The following is a 24,097-nucleotide window of genomic DNA, read 5'->3' on the forward strand; positions in this document are numbered from 1 at the left end:
TTTAAAGTGTGGTAGGGCTGTCTTCCACGTGGCTCCTGGTGGTGTTGAGTCCCAATTTAGCCAATTAATTTGGGTTTAGTTTTGATGTGGATAAGGGAGACCAGCTTCATTCATGGTGCACACACAGTTTTGCCAATAAGGGAAAAAAAAAGCAACCTGAATGTTCCTACTCATTAGATGCTATCTGGAGAGCTCCTACCCCACCCCCACCAAGGCCCAGACCCTTAAAAAGACTCAGTGCAGCCTTTCTGTATCTCATACTGTATTCTGCAAGATGCTCCTGTGAAAGAAAGTTGTGCTGCATCAGCCGTCTCCCTCCTGAAGATCCCTGCGGATGAGGATTTGTGTTTTAAAGGTTCTGAGAAGTCCTGCAATGACAGTCCTCAAACTTATTTGTCCAGGGGATCTTTTCTTCCACTGAACGTAGTTGGGGAGACACGGCCTTAAGCCTTGAGCAGAGAAAGAGACAAGAAGCTGTTGGCTCACTTACAACCAAGTGTTGTGTTTATGTGTTAGGTTTTCATGAAACTGAGGTGCTGTTTGAGGTTCTAAATCAAATTGGGTGGTTGAGGAGAGCCTGGTATCCCTGTAGACTTAGCCAGCCATGAGAGGTTGCCTTTTGTTGAAGGAGGTATTTTACAAAGGGAAGTAGGATGTCTCCTGGGCATCACATTAGCACTTAAATATATGTATCACTGAAATGAAATGAAATGATGAAATGGTGAAATGAAATAATGAAATGAAAGGAAATGATGAAATGAAGGAATGAACTGATGAAATGAAATGATAAAATGATGAAATGATGAGATGAAGTGAAATGGTGAAATGATGAAATTAAATGATGAAATGATGAAATGAAATGATGAAATGATGAAATGATGAAATGAAATGATGAAATGATGAAATGGAATGATGAAATGATGAAATGGTGAAATGAGATGAGGAAATGAAATGAAATGACGAAGTGAAATGATGAAATGAAATGAAATGATAAAATGATGAAATGAAATGAAAAGATGAAATGATGAAGAAATATGAAATGATGAAATGAAATGAGGAAATGAAGTGAAATGATGAAATGATGAAATAATAAAATGAAATGAAATGATGAATTGATGAAATGAAATGATGAAATGAAATGAAATGATGAGATGAAAAGATGAAATGAAATGATTAAATGAAATGATGAGATGGAAAGATGAAACGAAATGATGAGATGAAATGATGAGATGAAATGATGAAGTGAGGAGATGAAGTGAAATGATGAAATGAAATGATGAAATGATGAAGTGAAATGATGACATGAAATGATGAAATGAAATAATGAAAGGATGAAATGATGAGATGAAATGATGAAAGGAAATGAAATGAAATGATGAAATGAGGAAATGAAATGAAATGATGAAGTGAAATGATGAAATAATGAAACTAAATGAAAAGATGAAATGATGAAATGAAATGATGAAATGATATGAAATGATGAAATAAAGTGAAATGATGAAATGATGAAATGAAATTAAAAGAAATGATAAAATGAAATGATGAAATTATATGAAATAATGAAATGATGAAGTGAAATGATGAAATGATGAAATGATGAAATAATGAAATGAAATGAAATGATAAATTGATGAATTGATAAAATGAAATGAAATGAAATGACGAGATGAAAAGATGAAATGAAATGATGAAATGAAATGACGAGATGAAAAGATGAAATGATGAGATGAAATGAAATGACTAGATGAAATCATGAGATGAAATGGTGTAATGATGAGATGAAGTGAAATGATGAGATGAAATGAAATCATGAGATGAAATGATGAAATGATGAAATGAATGAAATGAAATGAGATGAAATGATGAGATGAAATGATGAGATGAAATGATGAAATGAAAGGAAATGATGAAATGATGAAACAAAATGAAATGAAGAAATGAAATGATGAAAGGAAATGATAAAATGATGAAATGAGATGAAATGTAATGGTGAAATGAGGAAATGAAATGAAATGATGAGATGAAATGAAATGAAATGATGAAATGATGAAATGGAATGATGAAATGATGAAATGATGAAGTGATGAAATGGTGCAATGAAATGAGGAAATGAAATGAAGAAATGAAATGATGAAGTGAAATGATGAAATGAAATGAAATGATGAAATGATGAAATGAAATGAAAAGATGAAATGAAGAAATGATACGAAATGATGAAATGAAATGAAGTGAAATGAAATGATGAAATGATGAAATGAAATGATGAGATGAAAAGATAAAATGAAATAAAATGATTAAGTGAAATGACGAGATGAAAAGATGAAATGAAATGATATGAAATGAAATGATGAGATGAAATCATGAGATAAAATGATGAAATGATGAGATGAAGTGAAATGATGAAATGATGAGATGAAATGATGAGATGAAATAATGAAATGAAAGAATGAAATGAAAGGATGAAATGATGAGATGAAATGAAAGGATGAAATGAAATGATGAAATGAGGAAATGAAATGATGAAACGAAATGATGAAGTGGAATGATGAAATTATGAAATGAAATTAAAAGAGGAAATGATGAAATGATATGAAATGAAATGAAATGATGAAATGAAGTGAAATGATGAAATTAAATGATGAAATGAAATGATGAAATAAATGAACTGAAATGATGATGAAATGAAATGACGAGATGAAAAGACAAAATGAAATGAAATGATGAAATGACGAGATGAAAACATGAAATGATGGGATGTAATGAAATGATGAGATGAAATCATGAGATGAAATGATGAGATGAAGTGAAATGATGAGATGAAATGAAATCATGAGATGAAATGATGAAATGATGAAATGCAATGATGAAATGAATGAAATGAAATGATGAAATGATGAAATGACATGAAAAGATGAAATGATGAAATGAAATGATATGAAATGATGAAATAAAGTGAAATGATGAAATGAAATTAAAAGAAATGATAAAATGAAATGATGAAATTATATGAAATGATGAAATGAAGTGAAATGATGAAATGATGAAATAATGAAATGAAATGATGAAATGATGAATTGATGAAATGATGAAATGAAGTGAAATGACGAGATGAAAAGATGAAACGGTGAAATGAAATGAAGAGATGAAAAGATGAAATGAAATGATGAGATGAAATGAAATGACTAGATGAAATCATGAGATGAAATGGTGTAATGATGAGATGAAGTGAAATGATGAGATGAAATGAAATCATGAGATGAAATGATGAAATGAATGAAATGAAATGAGATGAAATGATGAGATGAAATGATGAGATGAAATGATGAGATGAAATGATGAGATGAAATGATGAAATGAAAGGAAATGATGAAATGATGAAACGAAATGAAGAAATGAATAAATGAAATGATGAAATGAAATGATAAAATAAAATGATGAGATGAAATGTAATGGTGAAATGAGGAAATGAAATGATGAAATGATGAGATGAAATGAAATGATGAAATGATGAAATGGAATGATGAAATGAAATGATGAAATGATGAAGTGATGAAATGGTGCAATGAAATGAGGAAATGAAATGAAGAAATGAAGTGAAATCATGAAATGAAATGAAATGATGAAAAGATGAAATGATGAAATGAAATGATATAAAATGATGAAATGATGAGATGAAGTGAAATGATGAAATGATGAAATAATGAAATGAAATGATGAAATGATGAATCGATGAAATGAAATGATGAAATGATGAGATGAAAAGATAAAATGAAATAAAATGATTAAATGAAATGATGAGATGAAAAGATGAAATGATGAGATGAAATGAAATCATGAGATGAAATGAAATCATGAGATAAAATGATGAAATGATGAGATGAAGTGAAATGATGAGATGAAATGATGAGATGAAATGATGAAATGAAAGGATGAAATGATGAGATGAAATGAAAGGATGAAATGAAATGAAATGATGAAATGAAATGAAATGAAATGATGAAGTGGAATGATGAAGTGGAATGATGAAATTATGGCCTGGCTGGCTGGCTGGCATGGCTGGCTGGCTGGTTTTGGCTGGGTGGCTTGGCTGGCTTGGCTGGCTTGGTTGGCTGGCAGGCTTGGCTGGCTGGCTGGCTTGGCTGGCTTGGTTGGCTGTGTGGCTTGGCTGGCTTGGCTGGCTGGCTGGCTTTGGCTGGGTGGCTTGGCTGGCTTGGTTGGCTGGCAGGCTTGGCTGGCTGGCTGGCTTGGCTGGCTTGGTTGGCTGTGTGGCTTGGCTGGCTTGGCTGGCTGGCTGGCTGGCTGGCTTGGCTGGCTTGGTTGGCTGTGTGGCTTGGCTGGCTTGGCTGGCTGGCTGGCTTGGCTGGCTGCCTGGCTGGCTTGGCTGGCTTGGCTGGTTGGCTGGCTTGGCTGGATGGCTGGCTGTGGCTGGGTGGCTTGGCTGGCTTGGCTGGCTGGGTGGCTTGGCTGGCTTGGCTGGCTGGCTTGGCTGCCTGGCTGGCTGGCTTGGCTGGCTGTGTGGCTTGGCTGTCTTGGCTGGCTTGGCTGGCTGGCTGGCTTGTCTGGCTGGCTGGCTGGCTTGGGTGGCTTGGCTGGCTGGCTGGCTGGCTGGCTTGGCTGGCTTGGCTGGCTGGCTGGCTTTGACTGGGTGGCTTGGCTGGCTTGCCTGGCTGGGTTGGTTGGCTGGCTTGGATGGCTTGGCCGGCTGGCTGGCTTGGCTGGCTTGGCTGGATGGATGGCTTGGCTGGCTTGGCTGGCTGGCTGGCTGGCTTGGCTGGCTTGGCTGGCTGGGTGGCTTGGCTGGCTTGGATGGCTTGGCTGGCTTGGCCGGCTGTGCTGGCTTGGCTGGCTTGGCTGGCTGGCTGACTGGGTGGCTTGGCTGGCTGGCTGGCTTGGCTGGCTTGGCTGGCTGGATGGCTTGGCTGGCTTGGCTGGCTGGCTGGCTTCACTGGCTTGGCTGGCTGGGTGGCTTGGCTGGCTTGGTTGGCTTGGCTGGCTGGGTGGCTTGGCTGGCTTGGATGGCTGTCTTGGCTGCCTGGCTGGCCGGCTTGGCTGGCTGTGTGGCTTGGCTGTCTTGGCTGGCTTGGCTGGCCGGCTGGCTTGTCTGGCTGGCTGGCTGGCTTGGGTGGCTTGCCTGGCTGGCTGGCTTGGCTGGGTGGCTTGGCTGGCTGGGCCGCTTGGCTGGCTTGGCTGGCTGGCTGGCTTGGCTGGCTTGGCTGGCTGGCTGGCTTTGACTGGGTGGCTTGGCTGGCTTGCCTGGCTGGGTTGGTTGGCTGGCTTGGATGGCTTGGCCGGCTGGGTGGCTTGGCTGGCTTGGCTGGATGGATGGCTTGGCTGGCTTGGCTGGCTTTGCTGGCTTGGCTGGCTGGCTGGCTGGCTTGGCTGGCTTGGCTGGCTGTCTGGCTGGATTGGCAGGCTTGGCTGGATGGCTGGCTTGGCTGGCTTGGCTGGCTATGTGGCTTGGCTGGCTTGGCTGGCTATGTGGCTTGGCTGGCTTGGCTGGCTGGGTGGCTTGGCTGGCTTGGCTGGCTGGCTTGGCTGCCTGGCTGGCTGGCTTGGCTGGCTCTGTGGCTTGGCTGTCTTGGCTGGCTTGGCTGGCTGGCTGGCTTGTCTGGCTGGCTGGCTGGCTTGGGTGGCTTGGCTCGCTGGCTGGCTGGCTGGCTTTGACTGGGTGGCTTGGCTGGCTTGCCTGGCTGGGTTGGTTGGCTGGCTTGGATGGCTTGGCCGGCTGGGTAGCTTGGCTGTCTTTGCTGGCTTGGCTGGATGGATGGCTTGGCTGGCTTGGCTGGCTGGCTGGCTGGCTTGGCTGGCTTGGCTGGCTGTCTGGCTGGATTGGCAGGCTTGGCTGGATGGCTGGCTTGGCTGGCTTGGCTGGCTATGTGGCTTGGCTGGCTTGGCTGGCTCTGTGGCTTGGCTGGCTTGGCTGGCTTGGCTGGCTTGGCTGGCTGGCTGGCTTGGCTGGGTGGCTTGGCTGGCTGGGTCACTTGGCTGGCTTGGCTGGCTGGCCGGCTTTGGCTGGCTGGCTTGGCTGGCTTGGCTGGCTGGGTGGCTTGGCTGGCTTGGATGGCTTGGCTGGCTTGGCCGGCTGTGCTGGCTTGGCTGGCTTGGATGGCTGTCTTGGCTGCCTGGCTGGCCGGCTTGGCTGGCTGTGTGGCTTGGCTGTCTTGGCTGGCTTGGCTGGCTGGCTGGCTTGTCTGGCTGGCTGGCTGGCTTGGGTGGCTTGGCTGGCTGGCTGGCTTGGCTGGGTGGCTTGGCTGGCTGGGCCGCTTGGCTGGCTTGGCTGGCTGGCTGGCTTGGCTGGCTTGGCTGGCTGGCTGGCTTTGACTGGGTGGCTTGGCTGGCTTGCCTGGCTGGGTTGGTTGGCTGGCTTGGATGGCTTGGCCGGCTGGGTGGCTTGGCTGGCTTGGCTGGATGGATGGCTTGGCTGGCTTGGCTGGCTTGGCTGGCTGGCTGGCTGGCTTGCCTGGCTTGGCTGGCTGTCTGGCTGGATTGACAGGCTTGGCTGGATGGCTGGCTTGGCTGGCTTGGCTGGCTATGTGGCTTGGCTGGCTTGGCTGGCTATGTGGCTTGGCTGGCTTGGCTGGCTTGGCTGGCTGGCTGGCTTGGCTGGGTGGCTTGGTTGGCTGGGTCACTTGGCTGGCTTGGCTGGCTGGCTGGCTTTGGCTGGGTGGCTTGGCTGGGTGGCTTGGCTGGCTTGGCTGGCTTGGCTGGCTGCCTGGCTGGATTGGCTGGCTTGGCTGGTTGGCTGGCTTGGCTGGATGGCTGGCTTTGGCTGGGTGGCTTGGCTGGCTTGGCTGGCTGGGTGGCTTGGCTGGCTTGGCTGGCTGGCTTGGCTGCCTGGCTGGCTGGCTTGGCTGGCTCTGTGGCTTGGCTGTCTTGGCTGGCTTGGCTGGCTGGCTGGCTTGTCTGGCTGGCTGGCTGGCTTGGGTGGCTTGGCCGGCTGGCTGGCTGGCTGGCTTTGACTGGGTGGCTTGGCTGGCTTGCCTGGCTGGGTTGGTTGGCTGGCTTAGATGGCTTGGCCGGCTGGGTAGCTTGGCTGTCTTTGCTGGCTTGGCTGGATGGATGGCTTGGCTGGCTTGGCTGGCTGGCTGGCTGGCTTGGCTGGCTGGGCCGCTTGGCTGGCTTGGCTGGCTGGCTGGCTTGGCTGGCTTGGCTGGCTGGCTGGCTTTGACTGGGTGGCTTGGCTGGCTTGCCTGGCTGGGTTGGTTGGCTGGCTTGGATGGCTTGGCCGGCTGGGTGGCTTGGCTGGCTTGGCTGGATGGATGGCTTGGCTGGCTTGGCTGGCTTTGCTGGCTTGGCTGGCTGGCTGGCTGGCTTGGCTGGCTTGGCTGGCTGTCTGGCTGGATTGGCAGGCTTGGCTGGATGGCTGGCTTGGCTGGCTTGGCTGGCTGGCTGGCTGGCTTGGCTGGCTTGGCTGGCTGTCTGGCTGGATTGGCAGGCTTGGCTGGATGGCTGGCTTGGCTGGCTTGGCTGGCTATGTGGCTTGGCTGGCTTGGCTGGCTATGTGGCTTGGCTGGCTTGGCTGGCTTGGCTGGCTGGCTGGCTTGGCTGGGTGGCTTGGTTGGCTGGGTCACTTGGCTGGCTTGGCTGGCTGGCTGGCTTTGGCTGGGTGGCTTGACTGGGTGGCTTGGCTGGCTTGGCTGGCTTGGCTGGCTGCCTGGCTGGATTGGCTGGCTTGGCTGGTTGGCTGGCTTGGCTGGATGGCTGGCTTTGGCTGGGTGGCTTGGCTGGCTTGGCTGGCTGGGTGGCTTGGCTGGCTTGGATGGCTTGGCTGGCTTGGCCGGCTGTGCTGGCTTGGCTGGCTTGGCTGGCTGGCTGACTGTGTGGCTTGGCTGGCTGGCTGGCTTGGCTGGCTTGGCTGGCTGGATGGCTTGGCTGGCTAGGTTGGCTGGCTGGCTTCACTGGCTTGGCTGGCTGGGTGGCTTGGCTGGCTTGGCTGGCTTGGCTCGCTGGCTGGCTAGGCTGGCTGGCTTTGGCTGGGAGGCTTGGCTGCCTTGGCTGGCTGGGTGGCTTGGCGGGCTTGGCTGGCCTTGCTGGCTGGGTGGCTTGGCTGGCCTTGCTGGCTGGCTGGCATGGCTGGCTGGCTGGCTTTGGCTGGGTGGCTTTGCTGGCTTGGCTGGCTTGGTTGGCTGGCAGGCTTGCCCATGATCATCTCTATATCTAATTTGTATTATGACTATTCTATTCTAACAATTTTCTTTATTATACTGAAACAGTTTGTTTCAGTCTCTTGCCTTGGCACCTTGGTGACCTTTCGCCCACACTAATGGTCATATAATATAGTTTAGATGTCTCCTCCAAATCTCATATTGAATTTTAATCCCTAATGTTACAGGTGGGGCATGGTGGTAGATGGTTGAATCATGGGGATAGATTTCTCATGGCTCTGTGCTGTCCTTGTCATAGTGAGTACTCACGAGATGTGGTGGTTTAAAAGTGAAGCATACCCCTCCCTGATCTTTCCTGTTTCAACTCCTACCATGTGAGATTCCTGCAGCTCTTTCATTTTTCATCATGATTATAAGCTACTTTAGATGTTAATATTGTTACAAAATTTCACTGAATTTTCTTGTAAAATTACCTGACAAAGTTTATGTTATTATACCATTAATGTGATAAATAAATATATTATGACATTACAACATATTATGATATCATAATTCATATGTATTATGACATCACAATATATTATGACATCATAATGCACACACAACATGACATCATAATATATTATGGCATCATAATTTATACTACAACATCACAATATATCATGACATCATAATGCACATGTATTATGACATCAAAATTCATAGACATTATCACGTCACAGTATATTGTGACACCATCATCAGTATGTGTTATGACATCACAATATATTATGACATTATACTTCATATGTATTATGGCATCACAGTACATTATGACATCGTACTTTGTATATAATATGATGTATCATGAATTATTATGTAATTGATATGTATTACATATCTATTAGATGGCTCTGGATGTCTTGGGCTCTGTGGGGCAGGCTGGGGGTCAGAGGAGACACACATGCTGCAGATGGGGAGACTGGGGCACAGGGTCCTGGGGTTCCAGGAGCAGTGAGGAGGCCAGGATTGGCCTGTGGGGACTTTGATGTTGGCTCTGGGTGAGGTGGCTACTGTAGGTGTGAGCACAGCAGTGCTTGGGGGCTCAGGTGGCTGCCAAGGGGCAGATGGATGGAGGGGACAAAAGCTACAGCCCAGCAGGAGGGCAGGGTGGCCATGAGGGTTGTAAAAGTGATGCCAACAGCATTTGTGGGGGATTGGCTGTGGGTGTGAAACAGCAGCAGCGGAACAATTCCGTCATTCTGGCCTGGAACAGTGGCAGGTGAACTCTGCCCAGTTGTGGAGGGGTCTGTCAGGAAGATGGGGCTTCTGGTTTCAGAGGAGCCCAGAGATGTGCTCAGGCAGATGAGGGTCCTCATGGGATAGGCATGGGAGAGGCAGCTGCAACTTGGGGACCACTGGTGGTGGGCTGAGCCCCTGAGACCTCTGGAGTGAGCAGGAAAGAAAGTGAGGAGGAGCCAGCCAGGGAGCCAGAGGCAGAGGGAAGAGAGGAAAGTAGACCCCGGGAGGAGCAGACAGGAAAGGATGAAAATTTCCCCTCACCTGCCTCAGCAGCCTCTGCCCCTGCCCACACACCCTTGTGCACTCCCCCTGAGCCCCTGCTCACCTCTGCCTACCCAGCCATCCCAGGATGGTGTGGGCTCAAGCTCTGGGGGTAACTGAAGAGCCACTTTAAGAAGGCACAGTCTAGAAGTGAGCAGCATTGAGTCACTGTTGTCTCCCAGTCCTGGGAACATCCTGTGCCACAGTTTGCTGAGCTGTCTTAATCACCAGTGGGTCCCCATCTCCCACCCCTGGAATCCCAGAGGACAGCTCAGAGTTGTGATTGGTGCCTCTTCCCAGCGTCTCTCTACACAGCTCCCGGCTGTGCTTCAGCATCCTCCACCGAAAGGTGGGCCTGCCGCTGCATGTGAATGGCAAGGAGGTCACTGTGGGGAAGCGGCTGCCTCCTTTCTCTTTCCTGGGCCCCTGGTGCCTCTCTCCTGGGGGTAAGGCAGTTGAGCCTACCCACAAGTCCAGGCAGGAAGGCAGCCCCACCCCAGCACCCAGAAATTAGAAAAACTAGCTGAGGTGTGAGAGGGGGAATGGTGACAGCCCTGGAAGTCAGGATAAAAAAGAGACGAAGCCTCCAGGCCGCCATCCTCACCAGTGCCCACCGGGCCCTGAAGCTCTGCAGGGGGTGGCTTATGGGCTCAGAGGCTTGTGGACCAAGGCTTCTCAGCTGCTTCTGAGGCTCCCAGCTCTGCAAGGGGCTGGGTTTCTTCTCCTGGTAAACTGCTCCCAATGCCTGTCCTGACTCACTCACTTAGCTGGGCTACCTGCTGGGCCTCCTTCCTGGTGGGCCCTCCCCATGTGCCTCCCTGTGCAGGTGGGGTATCCCCTCGAGACTCCATTATTCTTTGAGGCTTTCAGGCCAGGATGAAGAACCCCAGCCTCTCAGCAGGAGCAGCCACTTGGGGGAAGCAGAGGGAATAGAAAGGCACACATTGCCAGCTCTGAGCATGACTGGGTGGGGACATTGTGTTGAAGCTCCTGGGAGCCTCATTCAGCCCAAGTAGATGTCCTTGACATGTCAACACTCTCCCTACACAGGAGAAAAACATGAGACTCGGAGTGGGCAGGGTGATCTTGAATCGGGGGTCTGGTCAGATGGGTCTCTGTTCCTCGCCTCAGCTATGGCCTTCATGTGTGCTTCCACCAGCAGAGACCCCTTCCTGGACTTTGCCCCAGTGGATGGACAGGAAACTGCCAGCCATGCTGGCCACCACAACCAACTTTCACTGCCTGGCTCCTAGCAACCCCACTCTCTCCATCTCCTGGCTGAAGAACCACAAGAGGTCTAAGGAGAGCATCACATCAGGATATTGAGGTGGGCCTGGAAGTTGGTGGGAGTGTGGGCTGGATGTGGAAGGTGGGACCTGTCTTTTGCTTACCTGTCCTTCCACCTGGAGCTATGGCACCAGAAGTAGACCCTGATCATGGAGTGTGGTGCCCTCAGACTGCTTTCATCCCACCTCTGTGATGAAGAACAAGTGCAGCAGCCTTCAGCAGTCATGCATGCTGGACAGCTGGGTGAGGACTGTGGCCTGTGGGCAGGGTGCAGGGAGCTAGGCAGCCTCTGAGCTCCCATCTATTCTCTCAATGTGCCCTCCTGACCAACTCTTTCTACCTGCAGGACTGCTGACCAACCAGATGCAGTAAGGTGAAATTCCACTGCAAAGTGTATGGCAACTTAGTATGTGGAGGTGAACAACAGCAAGGTGGGTGTCAATGGCATGCCCTATGTGACTGTGCTTAGGTTAGCTGCTGCTGCTTGTCAGGAGCATGGGGATGGCATGCCGATGCTCCACTTCACTAAACTCTACCATCATTATAGAAGTTTTGGAGTAGCCTATGAAAGACAGAATCATGTCATTATCCAAGAGACAAAATCCTCTAGAGTAAGCAGTTCTCCTGGATATAAACTTGGTGCTGGTTCATTTAGCATTTGCTACGAACCAATATCTAAAATTAGAGGCAGTTTCTCCTAAAGTGAGATGACATGAGTCAGTTGATAAAAGTGTGAAGCACTCCTGTGAGTATTGTCCCTCATAATTCATTCAAAAACATTTGCTTCTGTCTTTGCAACTTCATGCTCTCTGAATTCCCACACTGAGTAAAAACCTCCTTGGTGGGCTTATAATCAATCTCACATATTTAACAATTTGGATTTTATCTTACGTTCCGCTATAAAATATGGAACAAAATCGGTTTGATTTACAGTAGATGTAAAATAGAAAAATTAGGATGGGCTATTCTGGACATGTAGAATTAGTTCCTTTCATGGGTTTTCTACAAACCTGTATTTATTACACTAAAATAATGCTAAAATATATTTTGTTTTATTGTGTGGAGTTTAAATGGATACACTGGATAATGGAATAACATTAACTAAATAAACATTGATGCCTATTTTTTTCAGTGTTTTAAAATTTTTTAACAAAGATTTCTTTTTACGGTAAAATTGCACTTCATTAAATCTACTCCTAAATATTTCTTTCTTTTTCATACATACACAAATGGATTGTTTTTTTAATTTTATTTTCAGGTTGATCATTGTTAGTACATAAAAGTACAATTGAACTTTGCATATTGATTTTGTATCTTGTGACCTTGCTGAACTCATGTATTGGTTTTAGTGGGTTTTAATGAGTTTTTTATAAACTTTTATATTCACTTATGTCCTCTGCAATGATAGACAATTCTAACATCTTATTTTCCCACATTGATGATTTTGTTTTTTTCTCTCATGTAATTTCTTTGGATGTTAACATTTTTGCCTTGTTCTAAAATGTCAAGACACAACAACCAGTATTTTACTATTATGGCGTTAGGTGTAAGTTTTTCACTGATGCTCTTTAGCAGATTTAGGAAGTTTGCTTGTACCCTTCCTTTCCAGGGAGATTGTGAATGAATATTGGATTGGTCAAATGCTCCCTGTGTCTGTTGAAAGGCTCTTTCTGTTAATTTCCTTTATCCTATTACTTTGTGTAAGGCACTGATTGATTATCGGATAGATCAATATTGCATCTGTAAAATAATTCCATTTGGTCATGGTGTACATTCATTTTGATATATTCTTGATTCATTTCGCTTTTTTGAGAATTTCTCTGTGTGTATTCATCAGGGAAATTCATCCATACACATATTTACTTCTGATGCTTTTGTCTGCCTTTAGTATCAGGGTAATACTGGCCTCACAGAACAAATTGGGAAGTGTTCCCAATAACTGTCCCATATTTTCTGGAAGGTCTTGTAAAGAGTTGGCATTAATTCTTCATTAAATGTTTAGTAGAATTTACCAGTTAAGCCATGTGGCTCTGGGCTTCTCTTTTTGTGAAGATTTTTAATTAATTGAATCTCTTTACTTGTTATATGTGTATTCATATATTCTGTTCCTTCTTGGATTTGCTTTTATAATTGGTGCCTATTGAGGTATTTATTTCTAATTTGTAGTATTTCATGTGTTTAGGTTTTCTAGACAGTTGGCACAGAAGATTCAAGAAGTTTAATGTAGGAGAATGTTTAATGTAGGAGAATGAGGCTTTGGTGTCATCAATGAATGACTTGAAGTTTCTTATGTTGTAAAGAAAGATATGACCGTAACTGCCATAGTTAATATTTATTGTGCAAGTCAAATAAGAAGGCAGGAGGAAAGGACATCCATCACTCAATCACACACCAGTGTACTCATTAAAGCCTTTGAGAAGGACCCTCAACATTTTCCAAGAGAATTCCTTTCCTGGAATCACCATTATAGAGAAACTGGCTAAACAGACAGGCATTTCAGAGTCCAAAATTTACATTTGGTTTCAGAACCAAAGACCTCAGCTCCCAGGCCACAGCAGAAGCGGGCTTGTGAATTCCCTGGCAGCGGGTCCAAGACCAAGACCTCATCTGACTGTTTGGCTGGAACAAAACATGTGCACTACCCCAGGCAGGTCTCATCTTCTTCCTGCCTCCTATTCTGTCAGCAGCCACCTGTCATTTGTACCAGCTCTTCCTTCACCTCCCACAACCTGTGATTTTTTGGATCCCTCTGCAGGCTGTGTGAGCCAGGCACCAAGGGTCACGATGCACATAGCACCCTGGCTGTGCAGATGGGAGAGTTCTCTCAACCTCTTCTGGCACTTAGGAGTCATATGTCAATGGTACCAACTCTAGGAGGGAGGCTCTCCCATACACAGACTTGTTTCTGGCCTCAGTCGAAAGGAAAACTTTAGGATGACAAGAAAAATAAGACACTGGCCTGGAAGTTCTGCCTTAAAGGGACAGCCACAGCCTGGTCATCCTTAGCCACAATTTTAGAGTCTGGGTCAACAGGACACATCCCACCTTCAGAAGTGGTGGAGCTTAGGCAACGGGTCCCAGGATGCCATGATTCAATGGCAACCTGGAGCAGGAGCACCTTAGTAGCCCATGCACATAGGTCTACCTGTGGCAGAAACAGGCACAAGCCATGAAAGAGCCATCTATCTGCTGGAGCAACCACACCAGTCATCTGCATGATCTTCTACAAGTCCCAGAGTTTCAGGAAAAGGCACAATCTTTTCGGAATGCAGATCCACAAGAGGAGGGCCCTCCGTGGTCTGAATCACCACTCAGTGAGAAAGAATTTCAGGCTCTGCTTAACAGGCTGCAGAGCTCACCAGGGGATCAGCTTTAGCAGGCAGGCATCCTTCTCAGCACTGCCATCCAGGACTCTTTCCCTTGGACACAAACAGCAAAATGCCAGGAAGACGGGACCAGGAACACAGTGTGGTCAGAAGCAAGACTGATGCAAGAAGCAACCACTTGGAAATCCAAAGGGAGCATTTTGGCCCTCTCCTGTGGGCAGCCCTCAACTTTGGTGCTCACTTCCTAACCTCAGTGACGGTTTCTGAGCTTCATCCTGCCTCTGGAGTCCACATGGGCTCCAGGCGGTGAACAGTTTCACTGAATCCTGATGCAGCAAAGCAGCATTCTCATGACAAACAGGACCTCTTCACTTTGATCATAAGCTCCTGGGCCATCTGGACAATGCACAAACTGGAAACCCAGCAAGGGGAGGAAAGTAGCTCTAAGGGGGACACATTCCCACTTCTTTCCCTTCTAGCAAGTTTGAAAGCTAATTGTAAATGCAGGTGGATATGTAGAAAATGAGGGCATGCTATAACTTCTCATCACATGAGGTTATGACCAGGAGTTTTTAATCCTAGCTCTGAGAGCTGCAAATGGGAATTGGAAGTTTTTCCACTAAGCATCTATCAATGACTGATTGTGCAAGCTTATCTTCATCATGCTGAGGAGTCTTCACTGAGAATTTTCCTATTGAACAAATAAACATAGAGATAGTGACAAGTAGGCCAGGCATAGAGGCTCACGCCAGTAATCCCAGCATTTTGTGAGACCAAGGTGGGCAAATCAGTTGAGGCCAGGAGTTCGAGACCAGCCTGGGCAACATGTCAAAACCCCGTCTCCACTAAAAACACAAAAAACAGCTGGGCATGGTTACTCATGCTGGTAATTCCAGATATTCGGGTGGCTGAAGCCTGAGAATCTTCTGAACCCAGGAGGCAGAGGCTGCAGTGTGTTGATATTTTGCCACTGTACTCCAGCTTGGGCAACAGAGCAAGACTCTGTCTCAAAAAAAAAAAAAAAAGAAGCAAGTGAGTAAGAGAGAGAAAACTATAAAATCACTGAACAAAGTGTAAAGATGTTAATTTTCCCACAACGTTAGAAATTTTGTGTATATTTACATGCATATCTACACATAAAGCTGATCTCCTTATATGTTAAATCAGTTACATGTTCAGTGAAAAATACATTATTTTCTCTGTTTTAACACTGAAGAGGGGTGCACGTGGTCCAGACATGTCCTGTTGGAGTTGAATGGGGCATGTTCTGGGAAAAGGGGAAAGGCAGAGTAAGGGCCTGGTGCATTTAGGTGGGGTAAAGTGGGACTCTAATAGAGAGGCATCCAGGGTCTGGGCCCTAGCAACACTGAGGCTCACGGGGGCTTCTGCAGGTGAGGGAAATGGTGCAGGGTGCTGAAGGCTAAAATATCCTGTAACAGGCGAAGATCTGGCCAGATCGTCCTGCATTCCAGCATCATTGCCAGCCAGGCCTAACTTGACCCTATATTGAAGACACCTGGGATGGACAGGCGTGAGCCTCCAGGCTTCAAAGAGCCCCCAAATGAGATCTGCCCTGCGGCAAGGGTCCAGACCGTTACGGCCAGGCCAATTTAAAAGAGCCCCATCTCCTCTGTTCTCAGAGGCTTAAGCGGGTGGAGAACAGATAAGAAGTGAACTGAAGTCTCCTTGAAAAAAACAAAGTCCCATGGGGTTTGCCACCCCCTCCCCCCACCCACCTAAAACTGGAACCAGTCAGCCACCTCTGTCTCTTCTCCATGCCAAGAACCTCTGTTCAGGGCTCCTGGCAAACCCCTCCTCCCTGCTGCCTCCCCGCCACAGTACGCTTGCCAGGAATGCCCGAGATCTGGCACCTGAGCATGTTGCGTGGCAGGCGGGGGAGCAAGCGGGACAAGGGCGGCGATGTGTCCTGCACAAAGGCCCAGGCTGCAGACCAACTCGCCTCGCAGCAGGTAGCAGCTGTGTGCCCCCTGCCAGGCCACTCCCCCTCCCGGAGCAGCAGCTCCCGCTGCCACTTCTGTTTGTTGAACACAGGATGTATGAATGACGGCTAGGGAGCCAAGGATGGGGATGGTGGCGACATCTGATACTGTTGTAGTAAAACTCCAGCCAAGGAACACGAAGAGACCTTTGGAGACCAAAGAGAACTTTATTTAATTCAGGCACCTGAGCCAACAGCAGGCTCATGCCCAAAATGGCTGCCGACCCCTGCAAAGAAAGCAGGCTTGCTTAAGTGCCGTTTGAGGCGGGAAAACAAGGCAGGTTACAGGTTTCAGACAAAGACAGTAAATTATCCAACCCGTGACAATTCGGAGAGAACTTACAATTTAGTTATTTTGTCCAGTCAACTTTGAAGCTGAACAGAGCTGGGGTAAGGGAAAACACGAATTACAGGAATATGCGGGGGTCTGGAGGCAGGCAATAAGCTTGGAAGATTGAGATAAGCTCGCAGCTGCAACTTGTTAGCAATGCTGGAATGGACTGCTGAAATTTCTTAGCCTATGTATAACTTCTAAGTAACCTATGCTGAATGTTAACTATTACCTATGTTAGGTTTATTATTTTAAACTTTATTATTACTTATTTTATTTTATTTTATTTTCTTTCCACAGTATCTCTTACCATCCGGCCCAGGCAGCAGCCAGCCCTGCCTGGGCCGCGGCCGCCGGCCTCATGAGCCTGGCATTCCTGTCGCCCCCTCTCCCCATAGCTTGCCTCCTCCTTCTCACAGTCGGGCGCCCGGCTCCTCGAGACGCAGGACCACCTCAGATCTCCAGTCCTGCACCTGCCGGCTGAGCAAACGAGGAGACGGGGAGAAAAGCTGTCTGTCGTTCCTGAAGGAACAGGACCTCCGCACTCCAAGAAGGAATCCGGCGCCCAGTGGGGGCTGCAGGAGCAGAGGACCGTGGCGGCAGTAGCAGGAGAGGCAGGAGTAGGAGCAGTGGCTTCTCTGGAGGTGGCACTGTCTGCCCCCTTGAGCCTCTTCCTAACGCAGTCTTGATTCAAAATCCCTGCTCACCACGGATGCACAGTCACAGCTGAAGATTGTAGTTATCTAGGAGGATTCTTTCTTAGTTGTAAATCTATGTTTTATATAGGAGTTTTTTCGTTGTTTCTCTCATTCTTTTTTGAAATTTCATATTACTATTTTTTTTTTTTTTGGTAAGTTCCTTGACATTCGTGTTTTGTGAGTTTGGTTTTACCTACGTATTATGATTTTGGATGTAAATCTGCAACTCTATATACATGTTAAGTCAATGTGATGTTTAATCAAAATATGAATCAGCCATATCTACCACCAATAAAATCGTGTGTTTGTTTGCCTCTATAAATATAGTCTATTTCTTCTTAATTATCTTGCATATTTCTCTTCTTGGCTGGTGTCAAAAGTTGTTTTATCTTGTTCAGGACAGTAGTCATATAAGTAGTCTTAACTTACCCACGTATTTATTGAACAAATCTATATTTTCTTTGTGTGAGGAAAACACATTTATAATTTGAAGGTAATTTTCCAAAAAGTTTGTAACTCGGTATCTCTTTTATGTATCACTTTACAATATTTTAACTGTAATAAAACACAACAAAATTTACCAGTCTATACATTTGTAATTGCATAATTTATTAGTGGTACATATATCCACATTGTTATGCAACAGGCTTCTAGAGCTTTTCCATTGCAAAACTAAAACTCAATACCCATATACGTCAACTGCCCATTTTACCCTCTCCTGAGCCCTTAACATTTTACTTTCCATTTCTGTGAGTTGGACTACTTAAGATATCTCATAAGTGGAATCACACAATCACTGTCACTTTGTTTCCTGGCACATTTCACTTAACATCATGCCCTAAAGGTTTATTGTCATTGCAGCATGTGATAAGATTTCCTTTTAAAATCATATTTCATTGTATGTATATATCATATTTACTTATTTATCTGTCAAGGGACATTCAAGTAGCTTCTACCTTTTGGATTTTTAGAATAATTCTGTCATAAACGTGGGTATGTAAATGTTTCTTTCAGGTCCCGCTTTGCACATTTAGATAGATATCTAGAAATGGTATTGCCAGACCACATCATAATTCCAATTTTAATAATCTGAGGAAACTCTGTACTATTTTTCATAATGGCTGCATGATTATTTTTTCCACCACCCAGTGCACAAATATACCAATTTCTCTACATCCTTGAAAACACTTGTTATTTTCTCTTATTTGATAGTGGCCATCCTAATGAATGTGAGGTAATATCTCACTGGGGTTTTGCTTTTCATTTCTCTAAAGATTCATGATTTGCAGCATCTTTTAAAATTCCTCTTGGCCGTTTGTATATCTCCTTTGTAGAAACATGTGGGTGTGAAGGATTACCTAGGTGCCGAGGCAAGAGACTGAAGGTAAAAACTGTTGCAGTATAATAAAGAAAACAGTTAGAATAAAGAATAGTTATAACACAAATTAGATATAGAGATGATCATGGACATTATCCATCATTAGTATAAACATTATTAATCACTAGCTTTTAATATTACTCTTTGTTGTATTACTCATATAACCAAGGAATAACTGGTGGGTATAGGGTCAGGTGCTGAAGGGACATTGTGAGAAGTGACCTAGAAGGCAAGAGGTGAGCCCTCTGTCACACTCACATAAGGGCCGCTTGAGGGCTCCTTGGTCGAGCGGTAATGCCAGTGCCTGGGAAGGCACCTGTTACTTAGCAGACCATGAAAGGGAGTCTCCTTTCCTTGGAGAAGTCAGGGAACACTCTGCTCCACCAGCTTCTTGTGGGAGGCTGGATATTATCCAGGCCTGCCCGTAGTCATCCGGAGGCATAAACCCCTCCTTGTGGTGCTGTGTTTCAGTGGTCACGCTCCTTGTCCACTTTCACGTTCCTCCCATTCTCCTGGTTCCTCTTTGAAGTTCTTAGTAGATAGCGGTAGAAGGAATAGTGAAAGTCTTAAAGTCTTTGATCTTTCTTATAAATGCATAGAAGAAAACACTGATGTATGCTGCCTTCCCTCTCTGCTTTGGCTGCCTAAAAGGGAAGGGCCTCCTGTCCCATGATCACATGACTTGCTTGACTTTATCAATCACCTGGACGACTCACCCTCCTTACCCTGCCCCCTTGTCTTGTATGCAATAAATATCAGCGTGCCCAGCCATTCGGGGCCACTACTGGTCTCTGCGTCTTGGTGGTAGTGGTCCCCCAGGCCCAGCTGTTTTCTCTTTATCAGAAAGCTTACTACATTTGAGGTAGTCCCATTTTCCTGCTTTTTTCTTGTTACTTCTGCTTTTAATGTCATGTTAAAAAAATTATCAAGACAAATGTCATGATTTTTACCTTATATTTTAAGACTTTTATAGCGATCTTACTTACATTTAAGTGTTTAAGATAGTTTTCTATATGGTGCAAGTGAAAAGTCCAATTTTATTTTCTTCCATTTTGATACTCAATTTTAGAACACTATTCTGTTCTTCCCTGTTGTTCGGTCATGGCAGCCTGATTGAAGATTATTTGATGATATTCATAAAGGTTTATTTCTGGGTTCTCTATTCTATTCCATCATCTATTTGTCTTTCTGTTTGTATTGCTATAGCTTTATAATATATTTTGGAATCAGGAAGTGTGATACCTCTAACTTTGTTCTTCTCCACAGCTACTTTGGCTACTCATTGTCCCTTGAGATTCCATATGAATTTTAAGACTTAATATTTCTGAAAAAAATGTAACATTGGGATTTTGATAGAAAATACTTTGAATTTGTGCTTCACTGTGAGTAGTATTGACATCTTAATAATATTAAATTTTCTGACCCTTGAACAAGAAGTCAAGAGTGTTCTGTTTTAAGTTTCACATATTTTTTCATTTGCCAGTTTCCTTCTGCTTGTGATTTGCAGCTGAGGTCTTTTTACGCTGCCCATGCTGGTCTCCAACTTTTGGGCTTAAGCTATTCTCCCTCCTCAGCCTCCTGATGTGTTTCAATTACATGGATGAGCCACTGCACCTGGCCTCTTTATTGTTTTTCTGATATTTTTAGGATTTGAAGGTAATTTTTGAAAAGATTGATAAATATGTATCTCTTTAGAAAGTTTTTCACTATTAATGTAGTCAAAACCACATAAAATTTACCATCTTAAATATTTTAAGTACATAGTTAAATAATATTAAATATATTCACATTGTTATGCAACATATCTCTAGAATGTTTTTATGTTGCAAAACTAAAATTCAATAGCCATGAAACAACAACTACCCTTTTATCTCCTCCCCTGAGGCTCTGACTGATACTATTCTACTTTCTGTTTCTAAGAGTTTAACTATTTTAGATATTTAACTGGAATCACACAGTGTCCTTTTATGACTCATTTATTTTATTTACATAATGTCCTCCAGATTTATCCTTAGTGTAAAAATAATCAGATCTCCTGCTTTTAAAAAACTGGATAATATTCCATTATTTGTATATTCCAATTTGTCTTTATTCACTGATTCATTGAGGGACATTTGGGTTGCTTCCACCTATCAGCTGTTGTGAATAATGTTGTGCAATGAATATGGATATACAAATAACTCTTCATTTGGCCATATATATGACAGTTTATTTCTGTGCTCTATTCTGTTCCATTTGTCTGTGTGTCTGCCTTTATGTCAGTACTAAATAGTTTGGTTACTGTAATTTTGTAATACATTATAAAGTCAAGGAGTGTGATGCCTCCAATATTATTTCTTTTTTTGAAGGTTGTTTGGCTCCTGAGAGTCACTTTAGATTCCATATAAGTTTTAGAAATGTTTTTTGTATTTCTGCCAAGTGAAATGACAGTTAAAATTTGATAGAGATCTCATTGAATCTGTAGATCATTTTGGGTAGTGTGGACATCTTCACAATATTGTCTTCCAACCCTTGAACGAGAGCATGCAGAAGAGTGCGTTGTTTAATTTCCACATATTTGTAGATTTTCCATATTTCTTCTGCTATTGATTTCTAATTTTATTCCCTTGTAATAAAAAATGATTGTAATATTTTAATCTTTTTTTTGAAACAGAGTTTTGCTCTGTTGCTCAGGCTGGAGCACAGCGGCTCAATCATGGCTAACCAGAGCCTCGATCTCCCAGGCTCAAGCAATCCTCCCCCGTCAGCCTCCTGAGTAGCTGGACGCACAGGCATGTGCCATTATGCCCAGCTAATTTTTAAATTTTATATTTTCTAAAGAGAGGGTCTCTTTATGTTGCCCAGGCTGGCGCCGAACTCCTAAACTCACTAATCCTCCCACCTCAGCCTCCCAAAATGCTGGAATTATAAGAATGAGCCACAATGCCTAGCCCATATTTTAACATTTTAAAATTTGGTAAAACTTGTTTTGTGTCCTAGTAGGTTATCTACTCAGGAGAATGTTTCATGACCTATTGGAAAAAGTGTGTATTCTGATATTGTTGTGTGAAGTGTTTTTTTTTTTCTTTTTTTTCACTTCTATTTGTAGCCTACACAGACCTATTGGACTGAACAAAGCAGGGTGAATGCAGGAATAAAAGACAAGAGACAAAGGGGTATATTTGGAAAAAGGGGTCAGGGGCACCTTGCCTCTAGTGGACAAGGTACCTGAGCTTTACACAGCCCTCCATATTTATTAGGTAAAAGAGATAGTGAGAAGGCGGGGGTGGTTTTCCACCAGCAGCTTGATTCACAGCTGACTCGAGAGACTGCATTCTTAGAACAATAGGCACTGGATTTCTCAGTAGATAACTTCAAGGAGCCTGGTGCCAGGGAATGAGGCCCTCAGCAAACCTTTTGGTGGCAGGGCAGTGTGAGTTTGCCCACATCCTGCATTCATGATAAAGAGTTTGCTGTTTGATCATATAGCCTCCAGTGGAATGCTGAGTTGGTCATGTCCCATGGGCCTTCAGCTTCCTGAATCTATTCACTGTGATGAGTGTTTTCTATATGTCTGTTCGGTTTACAGAGTTTGCTACTGATAGTCGGATAATTATGTCTCTTACTATTTTTGCATAGCTATTTCTTTCTTCATCTGGGTCGATCTTAGCTTTATACATTTGGAAACCCCGATGTGAAGTGTACATATATTTATTATTAACACAGCTTCCCCAGTGAATCAACACTTGTATCATTATATACTATCTTTATTTGTCCTTTAATTCAGTTTTGACTTAATGTGTATTTTGCATAATTATGACCCCTCTTGCTCTCATTTGATTGCAATCTTCCTAGAAGATATTTTTCATACTTGCACTTTTAGCCTATCTGTGTGCTTAGATCTAAAGTGAGTTTCTTATAGACAGCAGAAAACAAATCGTTTTTTCTTTCAATCTCTTTAGCCAATTTACACATTTCTGTTGGAAATTTTACTCTATGTATATATTCATTTTAATTGTGAAAAGAATGGACTACTTCCATTTTGTTAATAGTTCTATTTGTTTCTTGTAGGTATTTTCTCCTCTTTTCTGCTCTTACTGCCTTCCTTTTTATTTAATTGATTTTTATAGTGACATATTTCTATTTAATTTGCCAAGGCCAAGTTGCAAGATAAAAAGTTTGCCTTTAATCTAGTCTCTCCACATCAGATCAAGCCTATGGACAGATCTAAAAACATGAGGTTTCCCTCTTCTGGGGCCCCACTTTTTGGACTGCTGTATGATCTCTGGAGGTTTGATGAGTCCACACCAAGCAAAAGTGGACAGCAGTGTTCTACCTGTGAACACTTGTTTCTTGTAGGCCCTACTGTCTCTCAGGGCACCACCTCTCTTATCCTTTAAACAGGAGTGATATTGGCAGAGAAGGGGCATTCACTCCTATCTGGCAGAAAAGGAGGATTCAGGCCCTTTAACCTCCCTAAGGTCAGAAAAGTCAGAGCCCTCAGAGATGCACTTGCAATGTGGCAGCCACTGGGCACAGGGGCTACTGAACAACTGTATTGTGCCCAGCATGAACTAAGATATGCTGGGGAGAAATACAAGAAAATATTTAAATATTTAGTTACATATACATATGTGCATAAAAATATATAATGCTGGGTTAAAGAAACATATGTCTATGTGTGTGTACGTATATATGTACACATATATATGTTTCTTTAATTATTTCATTCTGATTATATGTTAAAATATTTCAGATATATTGAGCTATGTTGTTAACATCAATTTCACTCATTTTTCTTTTTCTTTATGCTGCTACTAGCAAATTCTAATTGTCACATGTGGCTCACATTTTACTTCTATTGCACATTGGTGCAATAGAGGATTGCCTAATTTCAAAGCTCAGTTTGCCTCAAAAGCCAAGAGGCCAGAAAGATTGTAAAATCTAAAAATTAAAAATAATTGTAATTGGTTGGGCATGGTGGCTCATGCCTGTTATGCTAGCACTTTGGGAGGCCGAGGCAGGCGGATCACTTGACCTCGGTTCGAAACCAGCCTGGTCAACATGGTGAAACCATGTCTCTACTAAAACTACAAAAATTAGCTGGGCAACATGGTGGGTGCCTGTATCCCAGCTACCTGGGAGGGTGAGGCAGAAGAATCACTTGAACCTGGCAGGCGGAGGTTGCAGTGAGCCAATATCTCATCACTGTACTCGAGCCTGGGTGACAGAGTGAGACTCTGTCTCAAAAAAATGTAAATAAAAATAAAAATAATTGTTATTATTTTGTTTCTATTTTGAATAATACACACACACACCCCTCCCCCTTCACACACACACAAATAAGGCAGAGAAAGAAAGAGAGAATCTTGTTCTGTCACCCAGGCTGCAGTGCAGTGGCCTGATCTCAGCTCACTGCAGCCTCTACCTCCCAGGCTTAAGTGACCCTCCC

At 44.4% G+C, this 24,097-nt stretch overlaps 6 annotated features.

Moving 5' to 3' along the window:
- Positions 5,065-5,622: an enhancer, noted in NCBI's record as "H3K27ac-H3K4me1 hESC enhancer chr16:33238201-33238758 (GRCh37/hg19 assembly coordinates)". NCBI's record gives its function as "activates a minimal SCP1, AML or CMV promoter by ChIP-STARR-seq in naive H9 embryonic stem cells {active_cell/tissue: H9 hESC(naive)}" and the evidence as "EXISTENCE:reporter gene assay evidence [ECO:0000049][PMID:30033119]".
- Positions 5,623-6,178: an enhancer, noted in NCBI's record as "H3K27ac-H3K4me1 hESC enhancer chr16:33238759-33239314 (GRCh37/hg19 assembly coordinates)". NCBI's record gives its function as "activates a minimal SCP1, AML or CMV promoter by ChIP-STARR-seq in naive H9 embryonic stem cells {active_cell/tissue: H9 hESC(naive)}" and the evidence as "EXISTENCE:reporter gene assay evidence [ECO:0000049][PMID:30033119]".
- Positions 6,179-6,736: an enhancer, noted in NCBI's record as "H3K4me1 hESC enhancer chr16:33239315-33239872 (GRCh37/hg19 assembly coordinates)". NCBI's record gives its function as "activates a minimal SCP1, AML or CMV promoter by ChIP-STARR-seq in naive and primed H9 embryonic stem cells {active_cell/tissue: H9 hESC(naive and primed)}" and the evidence as "EXISTENCE:reporter gene assay evidence [ECO:0000049][PMID:30033119]".
- Positions 6,737-7,292: an enhancer, noted in NCBI's record as "OCT4-H3K4me1 hESC enhancer chr16:33239873-33240428 (GRCh37/hg19 assembly coordinates)". NCBI's record gives its function as "activates a minimal SCP1, AML or CMV promoter by ChIP-STARR-seq in naive and primed H9 embryonic stem cells {active_cell/tissue: H9 hESC(naive and primed)}" and the evidence as "EXISTENCE:reporter gene assay evidence [ECO:0000049][PMID:30033119]".
- Positions 7,293-7,849: an enhancer, noted in NCBI's record as "OCT4-H3K4me1 hESC enhancer chr16:33240429-33240985 (GRCh37/hg19 assembly coordinates)". NCBI's record gives its function as "activates a minimal SCP1, AML or CMV promoter by ChIP-STARR-seq in naive and primed H9 embryonic stem cells {active_cell/tissue: H9 hESC(naive and primed)}" and the evidence as "EXISTENCE:reporter gene assay evidence [ECO:0000049][PMID:30033119]".
- Positions 7,850-8,405: an enhancer, noted in NCBI's record as "H3K4me1 hESC enhancer chr16:33240986-33241541 (GRCh37/hg19 assembly coordinates)". NCBI's record gives its function as "activates a minimal SCP1, AML or CMV promoter by ChIP-STARR-seq in naive H9 embryonic stem cells {active_cell/tissue: H9 hESC(naive)}" and the evidence as "EXISTENCE:reporter gene assay evidence [ECO:0000049][PMID:30033119]".

The sequence above is a fragment of the Homo sapiens genome, chromosome 16 (assembly GCF_000001405.40).
Source record: "Homo sapiens chromosome 16, GRCh38.p14 Primary Assembly".
Lineage (NCBI taxonomy): Eukaryota > Metazoa > Chordata > Mammalia > Primates > Hominidae > Homo > Homo sapiens.